The following is a 20,152-nucleotide window of genomic DNA, read 5'->3' as shown; positions in this document are numbered from 1 at the left end:
CTTACATGACAAATAGTCAAAATTATAAAAATATTTCAATAACTGCCATAGCAAAGCAAAATTTATGTCACAATCCCCCATGCTTACCATTTTAACCAAAGTTTCAGCTACTAGCTGAGAACTGCTAAGGGATTGCATTCACAAGACACAAAGTGCCGTCTTTAGAAAAGGGTTAGAATGAATGAAGAAAATGGAAGAGAACTGATTATAGATTTTGTAGAATGGGGGAGATTTTGTAGAATCCAGACCATATGATCACAAATTACACTGGAAAAATATTCCAAGAGGTTATGCCCTTCAAATCTAGATCAGTTGGCAATTGTTTCTTCACTCAGATATTACCATGGACCTTTTCCCTGCTATTGGCAGCATTTAAGTCATCATATTACCTGTCACCAGCTCTATTCCAAAGTTAGCTTCTTCCATTTAGTGATCCTCTTTCTACTGGCCATTTCTCTTTGGACTTTCATCTGTGCCTCCATGATGTCTCAGAGCTTTGTGTATAATATGGTTTCTGCCCGGGAACATGTTGTTCCACATCCTGAGCAAAGGCACCCCATATTTCTAGAAGTAACTCCTTAAAGGTTTATACTGTAAGAATTTCCAAAAGACAAGTTCCTATTCATGTTTTTCTCCTGTTCCTACAATATACCAACACTTACACTTTCTGTCCTGAGAAGCTGCACTTAATAATTATCATGTCTCTGGCCTTAAAGACAAAAGAAGAATGAATATGACTTCTGAAATGTGGGTTCTTTCACAAAACATGATTTTGCTCAATGGGTTTAATAAATCATAAGTATTTTTAATTATTATTATCCAAAGGTTGTGACATCCTAGGATAGGTTTATTTAACTTCTATATAATAGAATGAATTACAAAATTCAAACTCAACCTCAATTTACTTATCTTTTAAAAAGACAAATTCGTTATTCCATCTGTTATTATAATAATAAGTTATTATATAATAACATTATATAAGTTATTATATTATAACTTATAATTCATGTAAAGTGTTGATCTCCCCATCTGGTACATGTGATAAAAATTCAATAAATGCTATAGTTAATTGAAATACATGTATGTATTCAAAACACACAAACACACAAATGCAACAATAAAATAATGACCAGAACTCGCTGTATTTTGTGAGTATTCTTCCTATAAAAGTGGTTTTATTGACCGTATCATAACACGCACATACATTTATCATTTCATATGAGTGAAATAACAATGTTGAACACAGTTGGTACTCAATAACTGGTAAACAAACTGCTAAAGTTGTTGGATTTTTGTATCAATTAATTTGAACATGCATCACGGTATTCAGAACTGAATATAATTCAATTGGTTAAATGTGCCATCACTAATTTTCCTAACATTATGATTTGACAAAAATGTTATTTACTATTTTACAATTATAATTAATACTACATTGAGTTACATGCATCTTTGAACACCTCCTATTATATCCTTATAGGTAAATATCTAAAACTAAAATTGTTGGTCAAAAGTGCTAATTTCCATCTTACATATATTTTCTACTACCTTCCTGAAAGATTTTAACATATCAGGAGTTGTAAATTCTCCCCACCTTGTTAACACATATAATCTGTTAATCTGATAGGTGAAAAAAGGCAAATAATTGTTTTATTTTATATATATTTTAAGTATTTCATATATACACAAATTTCATTATTTCCTTATAATGACTGGTAAGATTGAGCACATTTTCTATGCTCTTGGCCATTTGCAATGCTTTTCTTTTATGAATTGTTCATTTACGTGCTTTCCCAATTGATTTGAATGAGCCTTTCAACACTAAATTTGGCATATGTTTTGAGTAAATATACATACATTACTGCAAAAGAGAAATTGCCCAAATTTAATTTTAACTTGGCAGTTTATTCATTCTTTTTACCTCACCTTTAATTACTGCAATGCAGATAGCATCAACAAACAAGAGCAAATTTGTAAAAACCATTTAATTGGATTAAAGATGGCATTCATTTGCTATGTATATTGTTGATGCTATCATGTTTTTACAAGCTGAGTTAAAGAATAGCTCTGGCATGTAGTAATCTTACTCTGATGTGGTGAAACAATTACAACTGCTCAAATGAAGTCAAAATAGGCTAAATTCATTGTCCAAGGAGGATGGATACCACCATGGCTGCTCAGAGACAATACTGCTAACTGGGAAAAGAAGGCAGGCAAGATTTTGGAACTCCTTGGAACTTTATAGATGAAATTTGGAAGAAATAGGTTCAATTTTGAAACATAATTTATCAACTATAACTATTACAGCAAGGGGTTTATATCATTCCAATTACTTCTACTATGCTTGTTTTGCACTGTTTAGGTGATGTTAATGGCACGTGGTAGTCATTTGTATCACTCACAGATGGAATTTGGCAAAAGAGCTAAAAAAATTTTTATGAAAATGAAAATGTTGAAATAATACTCTAAATATTATTACCATGTGGCTGAGTTGATGTGATTATTTTTTCAGGTTCCAGTTTAGCCAATGCTCTGGTTTCCCAAAGGGTAAACTCCAGCCCACAGGATGCTTTTGTAAAGTTTTATTGGAAGAAAGGCACAGCGCACTCATTCAATTATAAATTACCTATGGCTGCTTTCATAACACAACAGCAGAGTAGATTAGCTGCAACAAAGACCACAAGGCTTTCAGAACTGAAAATGTGTATTTGGCAATTTACAAAAAAAGTTTGCCAATCCATGGTCTAGTTTAACACAGGCTGGAGAAATAATTCTACATAATTAAAACTGAGCTCTAAATGTGGAAATACAAAAGACTGAAATGGCAGAGTCATCATATCTACTCTAAGTTTTCTCAGACCCAGAAGACAAAGAATGTCAGCACTATTTTGATTTTTTTTTTTTTCATATTCAAGCACAGTATAACAAGGCCAGAGTGCCTGCTGGACAAGGTCCCTGAGTTAGGGCATGCTCTCTTCTAGTTTTTCTTTCTATACATCACCACCTCACAGATCACCATCACCACTGTCCATTCACATGGAGGTAACTCCTTTGAGTTTCCACTGCTATGCCCTTCTGTCTCTTATGCCAAACGGCACAGATAGATTACAGACGAATGATTGATAAAGACAGATATATAGATGATAGATAAAAATGGACTGATAGATTATTTAACAATAGATAGATAAGATGAATTTAGATGAAAGCAGAATTGGGGAAGTTTGAGAACTACCAATAACATCAGACATTAGGATACGAATCAAGGTATTTCTCAGAACAGAACACTTACTGTACCACATAAGCTTATTTATCTTATATGTACATTGGTATGCTGTTTCTGAATTTTTCTTAAGACCACAGAAAGACAGTAACTATGTTTTAGTGATGGTATGCACTACAAGAAGTGCAATCATGCTGCTTTCCTGCATGATCATCATGGGAGTTGACGTGGAAATTATGAGAAATGTGAAAAAACATACCATTTGAATCAAATAGATAAAATTGGAAGATTCACATCATCTTCCTCGAATTCTGAAGTTGTAAGGTGCCTATATCCCATTTATACTCAATCAAAAATGGTATTTCAAGAGCTAGATCAATTCTATGTTAGGACTCATCAAATGTCTACAACACAGCACAATTCACAAAACATAACATAAGCCTATGTTTTGACCCTAATATTTTCAATTAATTAAATAAAATCTTTTTACCCTGCTTTTTCTCATGAACAGTCATCCATTCACTTTCTAATTTACTCTTTCACTGTAAATACCATGAAAGCAAATTTAGTCATTTAAAATGGAATAATAATTTTCTGTTTCACTTTCCAGGATGTGATATTATCAAAACTGTGAAAGAGATACAAACAGCAACACATAAAACTGGTAATAGTTCTACTCTTTGTTAAAGTATCTACCACATCCTGATTTGCCAATCAAAACTTCTGTTTCAACTATTTGCTATATCAACTACTCAAAGAAGAAAGTGGTTACATTTTATTTGTAGCCTTTAGACAAAAGCCACATGCATCGACTCATTTCAGATGGCCAGAATGTCCACCGTGGGGTAGCTCACTTATTCTCTCTTCTGGCAAGATCAGAGCTCGCTACACCCCTTTGCTTATGAACTATGGACTGAAGACTTAAACTGTGGGAAAGAACACTTAGGCAAGTTAGCTACAGATACCAAGGGGAAAGAATTTCTTCGTTTTATTCATTTTTTTCTAGATTTTTCTCTGGCATGAAAAAATGCATTGTGGAGAATGCTTCCACCCCTTGGAAGTGGTAAAAGCGGGTGATAATGCTGGGAATGAGGGTAGAGAAGAATACTTAGCTCAAATTAATCACCAGGTATTTCTAATAATAATACCAAAGCAAACTAGAACATAACGCTTAGTGAAATCAATGCTCTATCTGTTTTGGATGAGTGGAAAATAGATACTCACACCAAGAGATTATTCCTACATGAATACAAAACTCTCACTAGGCAAAATACAAAGCAGGTAGACCTTGGAAATATAGAAAGTTTATAAAAATTGTGATGCTTAAAAAAACCTACAGAAATGTGAACATGTATACTTTTTATAAAAAACAGTGAAAATCAGAGAAGTTTCATGTGGGATAGACAGCTCTACTATTTTAGGCTTGGGTACTTTAGAGTACAAATCAGTAAAACTAGCTAGCACAGTATTGTCTCATAAGTTGAAACTTTTCTCCATCAGGTCAAGTAAGACATACAGGTCTGGCTACTAGTAATAGAAGAATACATGTTATCAAACTAAGCCCCCAACAGATATCAACTGTAAACTCCAGAATTAATATAAAGACAGCTATCTAAAACCACGGAGAACAACCAAAAGCAAGCCAACACTGGAGGAGAGCGCACTCTTGGAGGAAAGGAATTTCCCTGTAAGTTTCCAATTTCAAGGAATTTTGCCGAAAGGCATCCTCAGTAGTGGCTGAAAAGTGGGAGGAAATTCCCACACTGTAGCCAATCAGACACGGGAAGCCTGAATGAAATTCTGTGTATAAGTTCTGCTGAAATCCTTTGGTTGACCTCTAAACTGCCCATCATGTAGGCCAGACTCAAAGTAACCCAACCAATATGAAAAGAAAAGAACTGAATAGAGCGTAGGCTGCTTCCCACAGCACACGAGGCAGCCTGGAGTTTGAATCCAGCTAAGTTAACTGCTTGCCTTAAAAATAAATAAGTAAAAGTATCACTACCCTTTATAGCCATAGCTCTCAATGAGAAAGAGTGAGTAAAGATGCATGATTTTGGCCCCAACACCATAAAAAAGAGCGCTTAGAAAGGACTGAAGGCATTTTTTGGCAGGGGATGTGGGGAGGAGAGAGAGTTATGCTACTGGTAAGTAGTGAGTGGAGACAAAGGATAATACTCAGTACCCCACAATGCATATAGAACAGTACCCTCCCAAAATACACACAACAACACAAACAAAATGACCCAGTTCAAAATGTCAGTAGTGCTGAAGCTGAGAAATATTGTTTTAGAAGAATAAAATAGAATTCAGAGTTTCTACAGTATATTCAAAGTTCAAGTTACAATCCAAAATTACTTGACATACAAAGAATGAAAACTATAATCCATACTTAAGACAAAGGGCAATAAAGCTACCCTGGAAGCAGTCCTGATGTTAAAATTCTGAAAAAGCATATAATTATGCTGAAGACATAAAGAAAAATGTGCTTATACTAAATGAATAGGATAGCACATCAAATACAACATAATATTAAAAATAAAGAACTGGTTGGCGCGGGCATGAGGCCGAGGCAGGAAGACTGCTTGAGTCTGGGAGTTCAAGACCAGCTTGGGCAACACAACGACCCCATCTCTACAAAAATAAAAAATTAGCTGAGCGTGGTGGCATGCACCTGTAGTTCTAGCTACTTAGGAGTGGGTAGGTTAAGGTGAGAGGATCACTTGAGACCAGGAGGTCAAGGCTGCGGTGAACCATGACACTGCACTCCACCCTGTGTGACAGAGAAAGATTCTGTCTCAAAAACAAACAAAAAGCAGAAAATATCTGGAACTAAAAAATAAAATAAATTAAAAAGAAAATTCACAGGATAGGCTTAAGAGCAGATTGGGAAAAAATAGAATAAACAGTGAGTGAACATGGATGGAAACAAATTATTAGGTTGTTCAAAGTGAAAAACACCAAAAATAAGATTTAAAAAGAATGTCAGGTATCCATAGAAAAATATTAATAGGTCTAATACATATGTAAAAATTGGAGTCCCAGGGGGAAGAGACTGAAAAGTTATATTTTAAATGGCTGAAATCCCCCCAAATTTAACATAAAGCACAACATTTACAGATTCAAGAAGTTCAAACAACCAAACAATATAAATAAAAACACACTGAGTCACATCATAACCAAAACTGACTCAATACTTAGGTAAAAATATCTTAGTAGGTAGGAGTCAGAGAAAAATGAAAAATGGCACATTTAAAGAAAAAGAATTACACAAAAATAAAGACTTAAGTATCAACGGAGTCCAGAAAACAGTGGATTATCTTTGAAGTGCTTAAAGAAAGCCATTAATTCTATATTTAGTAACAATATATTTCAATGAAGAAGACTTCAAAAAAAGACACAGTTGAATAAAAAGTAAACTAATCACCATATACTAAAAGAAAAATTATCATCAGTAGGTCTGCTATACCAGAAGTGCTAAAGAAAGTTCTTCAGGCAGATGGAAAGAAACTTGGATCTTCGGGAAAGAATTAAGATCACTGAAGTTGGTTCATATTTATGTAAATATAGGTGATTTGAAAAAAAGCAGCATTAGAGTGAAGGTAAAATTCTGACTGAGAAGCCAGATTCAAACCTAGCCATTCAGATTGCTCAAGCAGTGTCAAAAGTAGCAGCTACTGGCATAGCAACTAGCCCTTTACTCCCATTGGTAACAACTCATTTCCCTTGCATTCCCAATAAACCTGAAGATGGACTCAAAATACCATCACTACACTTCCTTCTCTGCAGGGGTTAAGAAGAGTTAGCAAAGAGGGAGCCATGGCAAAGCGACATTCACATAGAACAGACATATGAAAGCCCCAGAGAGAAAACATTTTCTAATTTCCCAAATTCAGACATTTTTATGGTCCTTTCCTATCATTATTTTAAAATAAATCACTATATTCTTAAAGAGTTAATACCTACACCTCTACACCTTATTAAGAAATCACTACATTTTATGTTCTCTTTTCAACATCATCAAACATGGCAGATTCCCAAATTATCCAAATATAGCAACAGGATATAGTAATAATATATGACAAATAATACATAGAATATAACATACTAATATATGTTACATATTATATCAAAAAGAATATTGCATGACTATCAGAATATCACATTCTCCATTATTTCCATATTCTCTCTCATTCATGACCTCGCTGTCACTCATTCCATCACAAATTTTATTCAATAAACTTTAATGAAACTCATACATTTTTATCTTGACATTTTATCGTAAGACAATAGAAAGAAAAAATCCCTGTCAAGTAGGAGCTCGTTATATTTTGGAAAAACAACACAGAACACAAGACAAAGTGTATTGATAAGGATATCAACACAATATTCAAGAGCTTGAAGTGGGGAGCCTAAGAAATCAGGTCTATATGCAGCTATTTACATTAAGGCATACTGATCAATCCTAGGATACTTCATGTCTGCCTGCCACATAACAATGGTCTCAGTGCAAATGTACCATCTTAGCGTGATTCTATTCAGATGTTCTCTCCAAACCTGCATTTCTCCACTGAGATATTGGGTGGCTGTGGGTAGGAATCCCATATAATATTATCACTGAAGAGAACCATGAATCAACAAGACAATTGAACAAGGCTTTGGCGGATATGATACTACTTCAAACTGAACAAACAGCCATACCTTTTCTGAAGTTTATAACGTCAGAAGAAATCTTAAACTTATTCACAACAGCTGGTAAGAAGCCAGAATGAAAGGAAGACAAGGAGTCATATACCCTATATACCCAATGTCTCAATATCCTTCTAAAAATCAACACTTTCTGACAACTTAGTCAGCTCCTTACTAATAAAGCATTTTTCTACAGGTTTTCACCTCCTCAGAATCTCCACTACGGTGTCTTGTGGACTTCCCGAATGTAAGAGTAATGTGAAAGGTTCACAAACACTTCCTTCTTATTTTCCTTATTGTCTCTCTTGGTCTCTTATTTAAAACACATACACTCTTCCCATCTGTTATTAATCAGTAGACATTTCTTCAACACTCCTTGAATCCCAATATTAAACAAATGAACTGGATCACAGAAATAAGTATAACTCTACCGTACAGCAATATAAATACTGTGTTACAGAAATACTGAGTGGTCACACTGAAGTCAGCGACATACATTGTACTTTATTGTTCCCTCTCTTGATTGAAAGTAATTAGACAGTGACTATATTCTATGATTCTATCATTGGCCTGTCTACAGCCATTCTCCCCCAAGAAATTTTTAAAATAGAGTAGTATATAATATGGAGAAAATGAATCCTTTCTAAGGACTGACAACACATAAAAAGTGCACTACTATGAAATATGTTGACTTTTCCCGGATTACAAAGTCTACCATGCATATGGCTTCCTCTTTGACTGTTTTCCTTTGAGAAAACAGTGAGAAAGAGGACACTAATGGCACAGGCTATACAAGCAGGAAAGAAAACAGGAGCTATACTCTATTACTGCACAAATATCAGTGGGGATTTATGCCTAATCCCTAAAAAAAGACTTTCACCATAAGAAGTCTAATCCAGCAGATGCTGAGTTCCCTAATACCAGAATCTATATTTACACAATCCAACTCAACATGGTCTACAGCATCTATGATTTCCTCAGTCATGCCATAACATTCTCAAAAAAGTGTGAAGCAGCTACTTCATATTGGGTCTCTAGAAATTCTTCTTTTACTCACCCTTCAGGTGATTGGGGCTCATTCATCAAAATTTCACTCATCCATGGTCTAAACAAGTAGTTTAGACCCATTATGAAATTAAATATCTGCTACATAAAAGGCTCTGTAAGGTAAAGGAAAGTATGAAGAGGAAAATATCCCTGTCAATAGGAGCTCATTATTTCTAGTCTGTTAGACACAAAATGAAGGAATGAAATGAAATTTGGTAAGTGAAATGTTAAGAGGCATAAAGTATGTTGGACAAACAATTTTCTACAGACTCATATCTAACCCATTAGTTAGGGAATGACAATGTACAATGACTGTACAATTCTTCAGGTTAAGCTGGAAAAGAACACCTTCCACAATGGTACTTTATCCCTGACTTTAGTGATGGTTTTTTTCTCCCTGATTTTAGTGATGGGTTTTTTTTTTTTTTGAGACAGAGTTTCATTCTTGTCGCCCAGGCTGGAGTACAGTGACATGATCTTGGCTCACTGCAGCCTCCGCCTCCCAGGTTCAAGTGATTCTCCTGCCTCAGCCTCCCAAGTAACTGGGATTACAGGCGCCCGCCACCACGCCCAGCTAATTTTTGTATTTTTAGTAGAGATGGGGTTTTACCATGTTGGCCAGGATGGTCTCAAACTTCTGACCTCAGGTAATCTGCCTGCCTTGGCCTCCCAAAGTGCTGGGATTACAGGGGTGAGCCACCACACCCGGCCTCGACTTTAGTGATGTTATTGTATTTTAAATGTAGGTTCAACACACCTTGCCCTTGCCCTACAACTTTCTTTAAAAATTCGACCTTTTGTACATTCTATCTTGCTTTACTCCCTCGATTCCTAGCACCATCCTTTCTTCATTCCTTTTTCACTTATCCATCATTAGGTTGTTACTTTTTCTTTCAGCTGGCCCCTTCCATCCATTCCTTTCCTCAACAATCTTTGCTAAATGTCTGACACAAGCCAAAACAATGAAATGCAATCCTGCCGTAATGAAAACTCTACCGTGGCCAATGAATGCAGGTACAGATAGAGACACTGCAAGTGGAAACTCCAATGATAAAGCTACGTAAGGACTGCTGTTAGAAGATTGAAAGGATGTAATGAAAACATCAAGTTTTATCTTGTATACATATAATGTGGAATGATGAAGAGGATCTAAAATTGTACAACTGGGATGCATCTTCACATACTAATTGATGAAAGCAACTCACAGGTATCAGCATGTGTCTATGCTGGGCTAACAATGGTAACCTAATTATAGTACAGACCATCAACTCAAAGGTATTGTTTGATTTGGCCTTTTCAATAATAAGAGCACTACGATTAATGATACTCAATTTTCAAATTGAACTGTGTCTTTTCAATGCCATGCAAAAGCCACTGCTGCCCCATTAATTTTTAATCTCACTCTTCATGTATCTTCAGGAACACTACAACCCTTTGGTTTTCACCAGTAACTCTAGCCACAATCTCCTTTAATGGGTCTTCCTCATTTTCTCAATATCTAAATGCTAGAGCATCCAAAGCATGGTCTCAGACACATATGTTCCTACTCCCACATACACTCTATCTCTAGATCTCATCCTTTCCCACAGCGATTAAGTATTATCTCTACCTCCAAATTCCCCCCCAGCTCAAGCTTCCTATTTACACTTTAAAAACCAAAACCTTAATCTGTGGGTTTAATATGGATCTAAAACTGGCAAAATAGCATTTTTATAAAAAATCATGCACTCAGAGAAAACCAACCCTCCCTAGCAGTTGTTGAGGTCTAAATCATAAGTCCTGTTTCCGTCCTCTTCTCCTCTCACATGATACCATTCAATACTTTATCAAGTAGAACTGGCAAGGATTTCAAAATACACCCCAAATCCCATACTTTGTAATACTTTCATGTAAGACAACCTAATGTAACACCTATGTACAACTTATATAATACAACTTATTTCTACTTTTGCTATTAGTATTTATATCATCCAGTGATCTTCATCCTACCTAACTTGTTTTAATATACATAAAATATAGAAAGTTAAGTACTGCAGAAATAAAAATTGTAAATCTAAAAAAACCCAAAGCAGTTGGAATGCTAATTATGAGTAAAATACAGCCATTGAACAAGGCATTCTTATCCAAGGCATTAGGGAGAACACTCGCTAAATCTTGGAAATGACTGAATGAGACATGAGATGACATTTTTAAAATCTCTAATTCCTGAAGATAAACAATGAATCGATTTTAGAATCAAATTATCTTGTGGAAAAAATCAAGATAACATGATTGTCATATATTCCAAGGTGACAAACGAGATACAACAATGTAACAGAATATTTCAAACCATCAAATAAACATGAGACTGGTATTTTTAACCAACTGTACTTTTGTCTTGGAATTAACTTTACTAGATAAATCAAATACCAGAAGAGTCAGAGGCCTGAATTTTTTTGTGCAAATCGTTTATCAGTCAGCAGTGAACCTCAACAAATATAAGGAGAAATAAAAGGCTACAATCTTCTCCTCGGCTTTCCTTGGTCTATGTCACTCTGCTCCCACTGGAAGGAAGAGGCTCTAATTTGATCGGTGGAATGATAACAGTACTTACTCGGCTATTCTTTAGAGGGCAATCACTGTGTTCCAAGGTCAATCACAGATATGCAGAGTGCATTTACGTTCCTCTGCATCCTCTTATCAAGTTCACAGAATGCTTAATTGAAGGTTCTTTTCTTTTTTCAACAGACCAAGCCATGTTGTTCCCTTACATGCATCTTCAGGGTATGGGCATATGGGTTCCGTTCAGATTTAAACTTAGAAAGGATGAATTCCTCTGTGGAGTTACTCCACATTTCTTCCTGAATCAAAACGTGTCCTGCAGCACAGTTTCTATTACCATCAGAGAATCATATAATAGTAATGTACTTTAGTGCTGTGACTTCCATTGTTGGTTAAAACTTACTTTATATCATGGAAAATTTAAAAGTTTGCTACACTGAGGCTGAATTTTTGAATTTGGTATTAAACCACCTTCAATACTCTCATATATATAGCTTTGTGGAACAGGGTATGTTTTAGTCAGGCAGATTCAGGTTTTCTGATACTCCCTTACTGTATTATATGTGAAAGCAACAATATGCATATTAAAATGTCCCTGGCGGCCTTTTCCACTTGGTTTTCATTCTTTAGGTAACAATTATTGTTTTTTTTCCTACTGGCTACTTGTCTATTTGTACATTTATTCACTTGGTGCTTCATTTGTTTACAATCAGTAATTTTTGGCCTTACTTCCATTTTCTCCTTCATACGTTGAATGAACAATATTTACTGGGCCTCTGCTGCAACCCTGCCACTGAAGACTAAGTACAAAGTTACATACAGAGAGCAGGGAACATTCAGATCACCACTTTTGACCAAGCCTTAGGTCATGTTCAAGCCTCTGATTCCACTGCACTGGTTCCTAATTACACATTTTCATTAATACCAGGTGGCCTGCACCTCACCAATAATGAACCAGATTTTGAAATATATCAAAGTGATTATTAAAACCACTTCCTCAATCTACCCAAGTCATTGTTCAAAAGTAAGAATGTCTGTATTCTGGGAACCTTCTTTAAATAGCATAAGATGCAGGATTACTATTGGGAGACTAATGCCCTAGTTATAGAGAACACAAAACAGAGTTTGGATATGTATAGGTTTTAAACAACACAGTCACTGCACGGTAGTCTGAATAATCTACACAAACTTCTCCACAGAGAATGCGAGAGGCCATGTAAGGTGACGTATGAAAGAAACTTCAAAAAGCTGTTTTTGTCTTCAGATAGCTCCCAAATGCAGTCCCTTCACTGTCAACCTTGGATACTCTAATGCATTAAAGAGACTTAAAGTAATGACAAACAAAAATTGAGAAACAAGCATTGGTGATATGTAGGATACGGATCTAGAATCTGAACCCAGATTCCAGCATCATGCTTCAGTCTATTCAACTGTGAACTGTTGAACACTCTTCCAATAATGAAGGCACACATACATTACAGAGCTACATTAGATGAAACACTATTACCAAAAACTTCCTCTTCTCCTTCCACTGTGCAGTGTATTTGCATCACAACTCTGGAGTTCTGTGTGTCTCTCACATTCCACTCTATGGTTTAGACATAAATTCATTAGACTCTTTGGGTAACCCTTTCCCTGTATTCTCATATAAATCACTACCTTATTCTTTCAGAATTTTCAGTTCATAAAACACATTGCGGGACTGTTCTGACAGGCCATGATATACAAACTCTTCCTTACAGTACAAGATACTAAATAATGCATCTAAGCAATAACAGATTTTTTTCTAATCAACACTGATTCAGGTAAAAGTCACCTGTGCATATTAAACCTACTATGTGGAAGTTTGATGAAAAATAGAATACCTGTATAGTTCCAAATTAATTATGAAGGAATGTTAACTATAGTGGAAAAGTCCAGTGGACACCAATCGAACCAAGAGATCAAAGTAATTCAAAGTGAGACAAAGTGACATTATTTGTCACCTGAGATGATTCACTAAGGAAGACTGAGAATACTGAATTATTTCTGCTCAAAATGAGTATCTTAAACCTTTTCATGAGGAAACACAAAATTCAAAATCTGAGGTATCTCCTTAAATCTGTTAGCTATTACTTTTTAAGAACACTGATGTGATCAAAGTCCAGGAAACTGTTTCAGATTAAACAAAACTAAAGAGACATGATAATTGAATGCAATAGAAGATCCTTTTCTGGATGTTGTAGAAGGGAAGAAACTGCTATAAAGAACACCTCTGGAAAAATGGGTAAAATGTGAATATGGACTGCATACTGTTATACTTTTATACTATTGACACATTTCATTATTTTGAAATTTTTACCGAAGTCAATATAAGATGCTCAGGCTCTTAGAAAGTAGATGTTGAAGTGTTTTGGGTTACAGGAAGATAATGTCGGCAAATCATTCAAATAGTACATAAAATGATAATGCTATGTATAAACATATAAAGGGAGGCGAGAGCAAGAAGAGGAAGTGGGGGAAGAACACAACGATGCAGAATAAAAAGTCAATCTAGGTGAAGCGTAAATCAGGTCGCTCTGCATGATTCTTGCGATTCTGAATCTAAAATTATTTCAAAAATACAAAGTCATAAAAACGCTGGTATAAGGTATACTTAGGGCGTTTATGAACTTCCAAGCGGATTTAGAAAATATTAATGATTTCTTGCTCAGATAAACAGGATTTTTGGGTAGAGTGAGGAAAAATGGGGTACTGCCTCCTTATCTTATAAATCACACATCATTATTTGATTCTTCTTTTAGCCACGGCCATTAATTGTTTAAGTCAGACTTATGTTAAAAATGCCATTTTCACCTATTAGATTGGCTAAAAATTTAAAGCTTTTTTTTTTTTTTGAGATGGAGTTTCGCTCATCACCCAGGCTGGAGTGTAGTGGTGCAATCTCGGCTCACTGCAACCTCCGCCTCCTGGGTTCAAGCAATTCTCCTGTCTTAGCCTCCCAAGTAGCTGGGATTACAGGTATATGCCACCACGCCCAGCTAATTTTTTGTATTTAGTGGAGATGGGATTTCACCATGTTGGTCAGGCTGGTCTGGAACTCCTGACCTCAGGTGATCCACCTGCCTAGGCCTCCCAAAGTGCTGGGATTACAGGCGTGAGCTACTGCGCCCGACCTCAAAAATTCTTAATACCTGTTGCACACAAGTTTTTATGAAAATTGGCACTTCCATTACAACACCGTTCTGTGGTGGCAGAGGACACCATTTTCAAGAGCAATTTCACAGCATCTAACTGAAACGAAACTGATGATCCAACAATGCCACAGCTAGACATTTATCCTGTAGAATTAGGAGACCAACTGCATTAGAATATATATATAGTGCAACATTATATGCAGCAACAAAACAAACAAAACATTAACCTGCTTTCCCAAAACAGAGAAATGGATTTACCTGTTGTAATACATACTTTACATCCCATAAAAAGTCTGTGGGTAAGCTATATTTATTGATTTAGAAACATGTCCATGCTGTATTAAAGAACCTTGAAATTTATAAAATAACATCTATCGTAATAATCACACATTTGTAAATGAATTCCACATAAACTTATGTAAGCTGAGAAAAGTTACTGACAACTACACTACAAACACTACTTATCAAACCTAGGAAGTAGGTATGGAAGGTAGTAGATAAATGACCACAGCTTGCTTCATATCACTGAGTGACTCACTCATTCTTGTTGGCTCTGTTTCAATGAACTAGTTGCCAAGCCTAAGTGAAAAGGAGATATAAAAGAATAAAAACACATAACCCTCAACCTGGCTTTAAGAGCCAAGAATTCAAAGGCTTAAAGCAGATTCTGCCCCATGTTTTAGTTTAACTTCCTACGTTGAGGGTTCAGAAAAATGACATGGGATGGAATACATCTTCTCGCTTCTGCCTTCCATGTATATCCACCTTCCCCAGGATCATAATAAACTTCTGCTGTAAGCCAGAGGTCAGAAATCTACAGCCTGTGGTCCAAATCTGGCCTAACACATGTTTTTGTAAATAAGTTTTACTAGAACACGGCCAAATTCATTTGTTTATGAATTGGTTATAGCCGATTTCACGTATAATGGCAATGTTGAGTAGTTACTACAGTATGGACTATATAGTCTGCTCTTTTACAAATTTTGCTACCTCTGTGTATTGTTATACAGACTACAAAACTCTGTATGATGTTTCATATAATGTAAAAGTGTGTGATTAGGACACTGATCTTCTTATAACCAGAACAGCATACTGAACTTGGAAAATATTAACACAAGAAATAGTATGAGATAAATTAACTTTGGAGAAGAGACAGAAGAGCACCTTCTGTCCAGGTAAAATAAATGAGCATTGCAAAAAGGAACACAAGTTCTACCTAAAAATCTAGCTGCCAATGAACAAAATAATATAGTATGAAAGGAGACACTAATGGCTGTACACGTATGAGATTTTTAAACCTTTAATCTTGTGTTGGTAGGATTAACTGACATCAAAGTGATTGATTATATAGTCTTAAAATTCTAGCAAGTGTTTGTTATTGCTAACACTGGTCTAGAGAGGTAATTAATATTACTGAATGCCTCCCATGTATAAACCTATCAAGACAGGTTGGGCAATATGGTGAGCAGTTCCCCAATGGACAGTGCAGCTTATGTTATAGAAGCAGACAATTAAAACACCAAATAAGCACTATTTTATATTAAGCCCGTTTAGGTTAAACAGAAAACAAAGGAAAACCAGGGTAACGTGGATAAAGGGGAAATCTCTTTGGTGCACTGAGATTTTTATTCCAGCCCCAAATAACACTAATGATACCAATAAAATGATTGTACAACATGTTCTACAAGATGAGATCACAAGGGCTCAAATGGCAGTGCAAGGGTCTCGCTCTCCCTTACACACTCAGTTGTCATGTCATCCAAGTTTGTGTACTTGGAAAGAGGTGAACTATAGTCAATCTCAGATCCTGATCTGCAATGAGATATACTAGGTCTAACAAAAAGGATACTACAGAAGGTCTAGTCCAGATAACACAAATGCTTAAGATTTCATTTGGGACTTGTCTAAAAACTGTGGGCTCCTGATTCAAATGAGGAAAAAAAGTATCTTACACATGGGGAAAAAAAATCACTGGCACACCAAGGCCCTCTGCTTCTGAGAAAGACTTGCCATCATCTGGACAGTGACTAACGTATCCATGGGGTTGAATTAATTATATTTACCATACACAAATCTCACTTCCATTCATAAAGTAAAATATAAATTTAAGAAATACAATGAGTTAATATACAAAAATAGAGGGAAGCATGAAATGTATTGAGAGTGCAGAGAAGTACATAAAAACATTCCAGGCAATTACTTGCGAAAAAGCAGGTCACTTCTATTCCTGGACGTACTTCTATAAAAGGTGTGCCCCTTTAGAAGCAAAGATGCAAGAAGATCCCAGAAAGAAGCAGTAACAACAGCATTTCGGTGATGCTGTAGATGGAACCACCATTTGTCTATGATCCTATTATCCACATGGTCACCACCTGAGAGAGTACAGAAGAAGAGATTGCAAATGGAAATAAACAACAGGTTATGACACAGCCATGCCTGGTGACAGAAATATATCATCTTCAAGTCAAGTAATACTCCATAAAACCGAACTCCTACAATCTGATGTGGAATAACCCAAAACCTACAAAAACCAGGTATACGTACTGTATGCAAATGATAAAGCTGCCATTTTCCTTCGTTTCTCTACACATTTTTTTGTGATTTGAATACCTATCTCCTATTCCAAATTATTTTCACGCCAACCAACCACCTATTTATTCTTTGAACCAGCATTTCCTGTGTAGTTTCTTCATTCTAATTTATACACCAATTCAGGGGTTAAGAATTTTTTTAAAAGACACAATATAAGGAAATACTAATAAGATACTCTGTGTATTCCATTAAGATCTTTCCACAAACTAAAACCCAGTATCCACCCATCAATTCTCCTTGCTACCCTGTATGCTTCTTGTGCAACTTCTCGTGGTACTAAAGTCAAGAAAATGCCTGATTTCATTAAATGTTGGTTATTAACAAGAGTTAACTATAAAGTCCTTGATTAAAATATCGACTCAAAATAATCACATAACCACAAAGTAGGATGTATGAGAAAAGAAATTTAATTTCAAAGAACTCAAATAAGAATCTAATATATCCTCAACGTAGCAAATAGAACAGCTTCAAAATCACAATATAGTCTTTAATGATTTTACCTGCAGGAAAGATGTCTTTGTCCTCCTTGACTATTGAAGATGCTTGTGAAAAAAAAGAAAAACAGGAATGTTGGAAAATAGTTGAAGATTTTTCATTCACTCATCGAAAGAAAGGGTGTTAAGACCCTACTTTTACCACTTCAATGTTGAAATATTCCTCAACTCCTATCTGCTGACCTTACCTACTTACTGATGATATCCTAAATCATGCACTTGGAACTAAAATTAAACCTGCTACTCTCATTATAACCCATACTATTTATAGTAAATTCTAATTCCTAATGACTTTGGTCTCTGACATCTTTTAATAGCCTATCCATTTTCTTTATTTTCCACAGGCTGCCAGACTTCCTTCTTATCTCCCTCTAGCTGATGAATTTATTCCAGAGCATTTATTCAATAAAATTTACTGAAATAATATAAAATTTACTGAGTATACAGATAAAAAGTTATAGTCTCAGTCCAGATGACATTACATACTACGGTGAGAGTAGATAAGACTGGTAAATCAAAACCTGCATAAACTACATATCAAAACTGTGTCAAAATTTAGGGAGCCCTTTTATCTCTTTTATTTCACCTAACTGATAATCACTCCACAAATTCACAACTTTGTGTTTTATAGAATTCATGTATAGTTTTGGATTTTAAAATATTACAAATTAGATTCAATATCAAACTGGTCAAAAATAAACAGTACACCAGGGTTACTGATTCTTACCAGCACTTTTGAAGAATGACGTCTACAAAAATAGTAAATAAGCACAATGATTTGGATTGATATGCAAATTTCAGTCAGTGAAGAAGTTCTCACTTCTTAAACTGGTACCACCTCAGCTATAACTGTGAAAAATATGGGAAAATTGTGACATACGACCAGTTAATATACAGAAGGTGAAGTTCTCTCATTCCTCAACCTCCTAAAGTCCCCAAATTATTAAAATATTGAAAGATCATTTTAATTAAACTAACTTGTGAACCCACTGCAGTTAGTTTTTGCTTATTTGCTAACACATCATGTTGAGAATGCAAAAACAAAACTTTTATAATTTCATAATGAATCTGCCCGTGAAAATATACCATTGGCTTTCAAATGTCCATCTTTCCAGTCAACTTTACATATATGACTTTATTATTGCATCAGCCCATTCTCATAGTCATCAAATTCCTGTACCATCACCTTGTGAATCAACCCATCTATCAGTCTATTAAGCCACTCTAAAGCCACCAAACAGGCAGCTATCACTTATGCAACCAATGTACCTGAACCCTGATCCCTACATTTATCCAAGGTTTTAGATAGCCATATTTGTACTCATCAATCTAAAGATCTATCCATACAGCATTCCATTTTTGATCCATCCAATGATAACACCTAGGCATATAACCATCTGCACCTTCACTAAATGATTCCACTGTGCATATAACCATACATACACCCAACAGGTTTTTAAAACCTGCATTCTCCATTCTTGCATCCAGCCATTTGCTCATATTCTACTTTCCATCTATTTCTTACATTATTCAATACACCCAATTTTGCATGCATCCGTTATTATATTTCAAATTATATTAGACGATTATTATATTCATCTTTCTGGGCTTTAAATATCCAATCCCACATAATTTCAATGACTAGTTATTAAATCCACATTAACCATATAATACAAAGAAAATTTCAGTAACCATTCTTGCATCCTTCCATCAACTCACATGTCTGCCTGTCTACTACTACTACCAAGCTTGAAAACACCAATCCAACCCTGCCTCCTTGAACGCACCTATCCACCAATCACTGAATTATTGTGTGTAACTTTCCCTCTGTACTCAGATTGAAGTCATGGCCACTTCAAAATTTTACTGGCTGAACACATCTACTTCTTACTAATGAAAATATTCCTGTGGGTCTGTTATGATGGCTCTCAGGGAAGCTTTGCTAAATATGACAGATTACTGTGCCAAGGGCATTCACCTCTTTTGAAAATTACATATCAACACATGGTTCTACGATCACCATGGTAAGATATAAGTTAGAATCACATATAGGCCACGAAACTCCTGTGCCCATGATGCACATAACACATTTTACATTTTTAATGGGTCACTTTTACTTCCAAAGAAACTAGAAGCCCATGATTAAGACTTAAAATATGAACAAACATCCTCCACAATGCCTATTTTAAAAATAATTAAGTAGGATAAGGGGATTGGGAAAGTGTGCCAGAGGTAAAAGCTACAGCCAAGGAAAACAAGGAAAAAGTGAGCATCTTCCAGGCCCTAGTAAAACACTCTCTAGCACAGTATAGGGAGCCTTCACAGTGTATTTCCAGAGGGATTTCAAAATTTCAATGGAAAAGTGATTTCTATCACATTTGACACCTTAGAGT

At 35.5% G+C, this 20,152-nt stretch overlaps 2 long non-coding RNA genes across 2 annotated transcripts in view, besides 1 other annotated feature; both read right to left on the bottom strand.

Moving 5' to 3' along the window:
- The window catches only part of SNHG14 (small nucleolar RNA host gene 14), a 595,855-nt gene that overhangs the window by 381,828 nt on the left and 193,875 nt on the right, over positions 1–20,152 (bottom strand). Inside the window, exons 21-23 of the long non-coding RNA NR_146177.1 lie at positions 18,487–18,608; positions 17,766–17,807; positions 16,874–17,045 (exon numbers count right to left, since the gene is read on the bottom strand). This is a non-coding gene — a long non-coding RNA (small nucleolar RNA host gene 14). The remainder of the gene's footprint in view (positions 1–16,873; positions 17,046–17,765; positions 17,808–18,486; positions 18,609–20,152) is intronic.
- PWAR6 (Prader Willi/Angelman region RNA 6) lies at positions 1,145–5,762 on the bottom strand. The gene has a single exon (NR_146168.1). It is a non-coding gene; the product is annotated as a Prader Willi/Angelman region RNA 6 (long non-coding RNA).
- Positions 15,039–15,333: an enhancer, noted in NCBI's record as "tiled region #7323; K562 Activating non-DNase unmatched - State 24:Quies". NCBI's record gives its function as "activates a minimal TATA promoter and a strong SV40 promoter by Sharpr-MPRA in K562 cells {active_cell/tissue: K562}" and the evidence as "EXISTENCE:reporter gene assay evidence [ECO:0000049][PMID:27701403]".

This window comes from Homo sapiens, chromosome 15 (assembly GCF_000001405.40).
Source record: "Homo sapiens chromosome 15, GRCh38.p14 Primary Assembly".
In the NCBI taxonomy this organism is placed as follows: Eukaryota; Metazoa; Chordata; class Mammalia; order Primates; family Hominidae; genus Homo; species Homo sapiens.
Note: the sequence above shows the minus strand (reverse complement) of the source record. Positions and strands in the feature narration are given on the sequence as shown.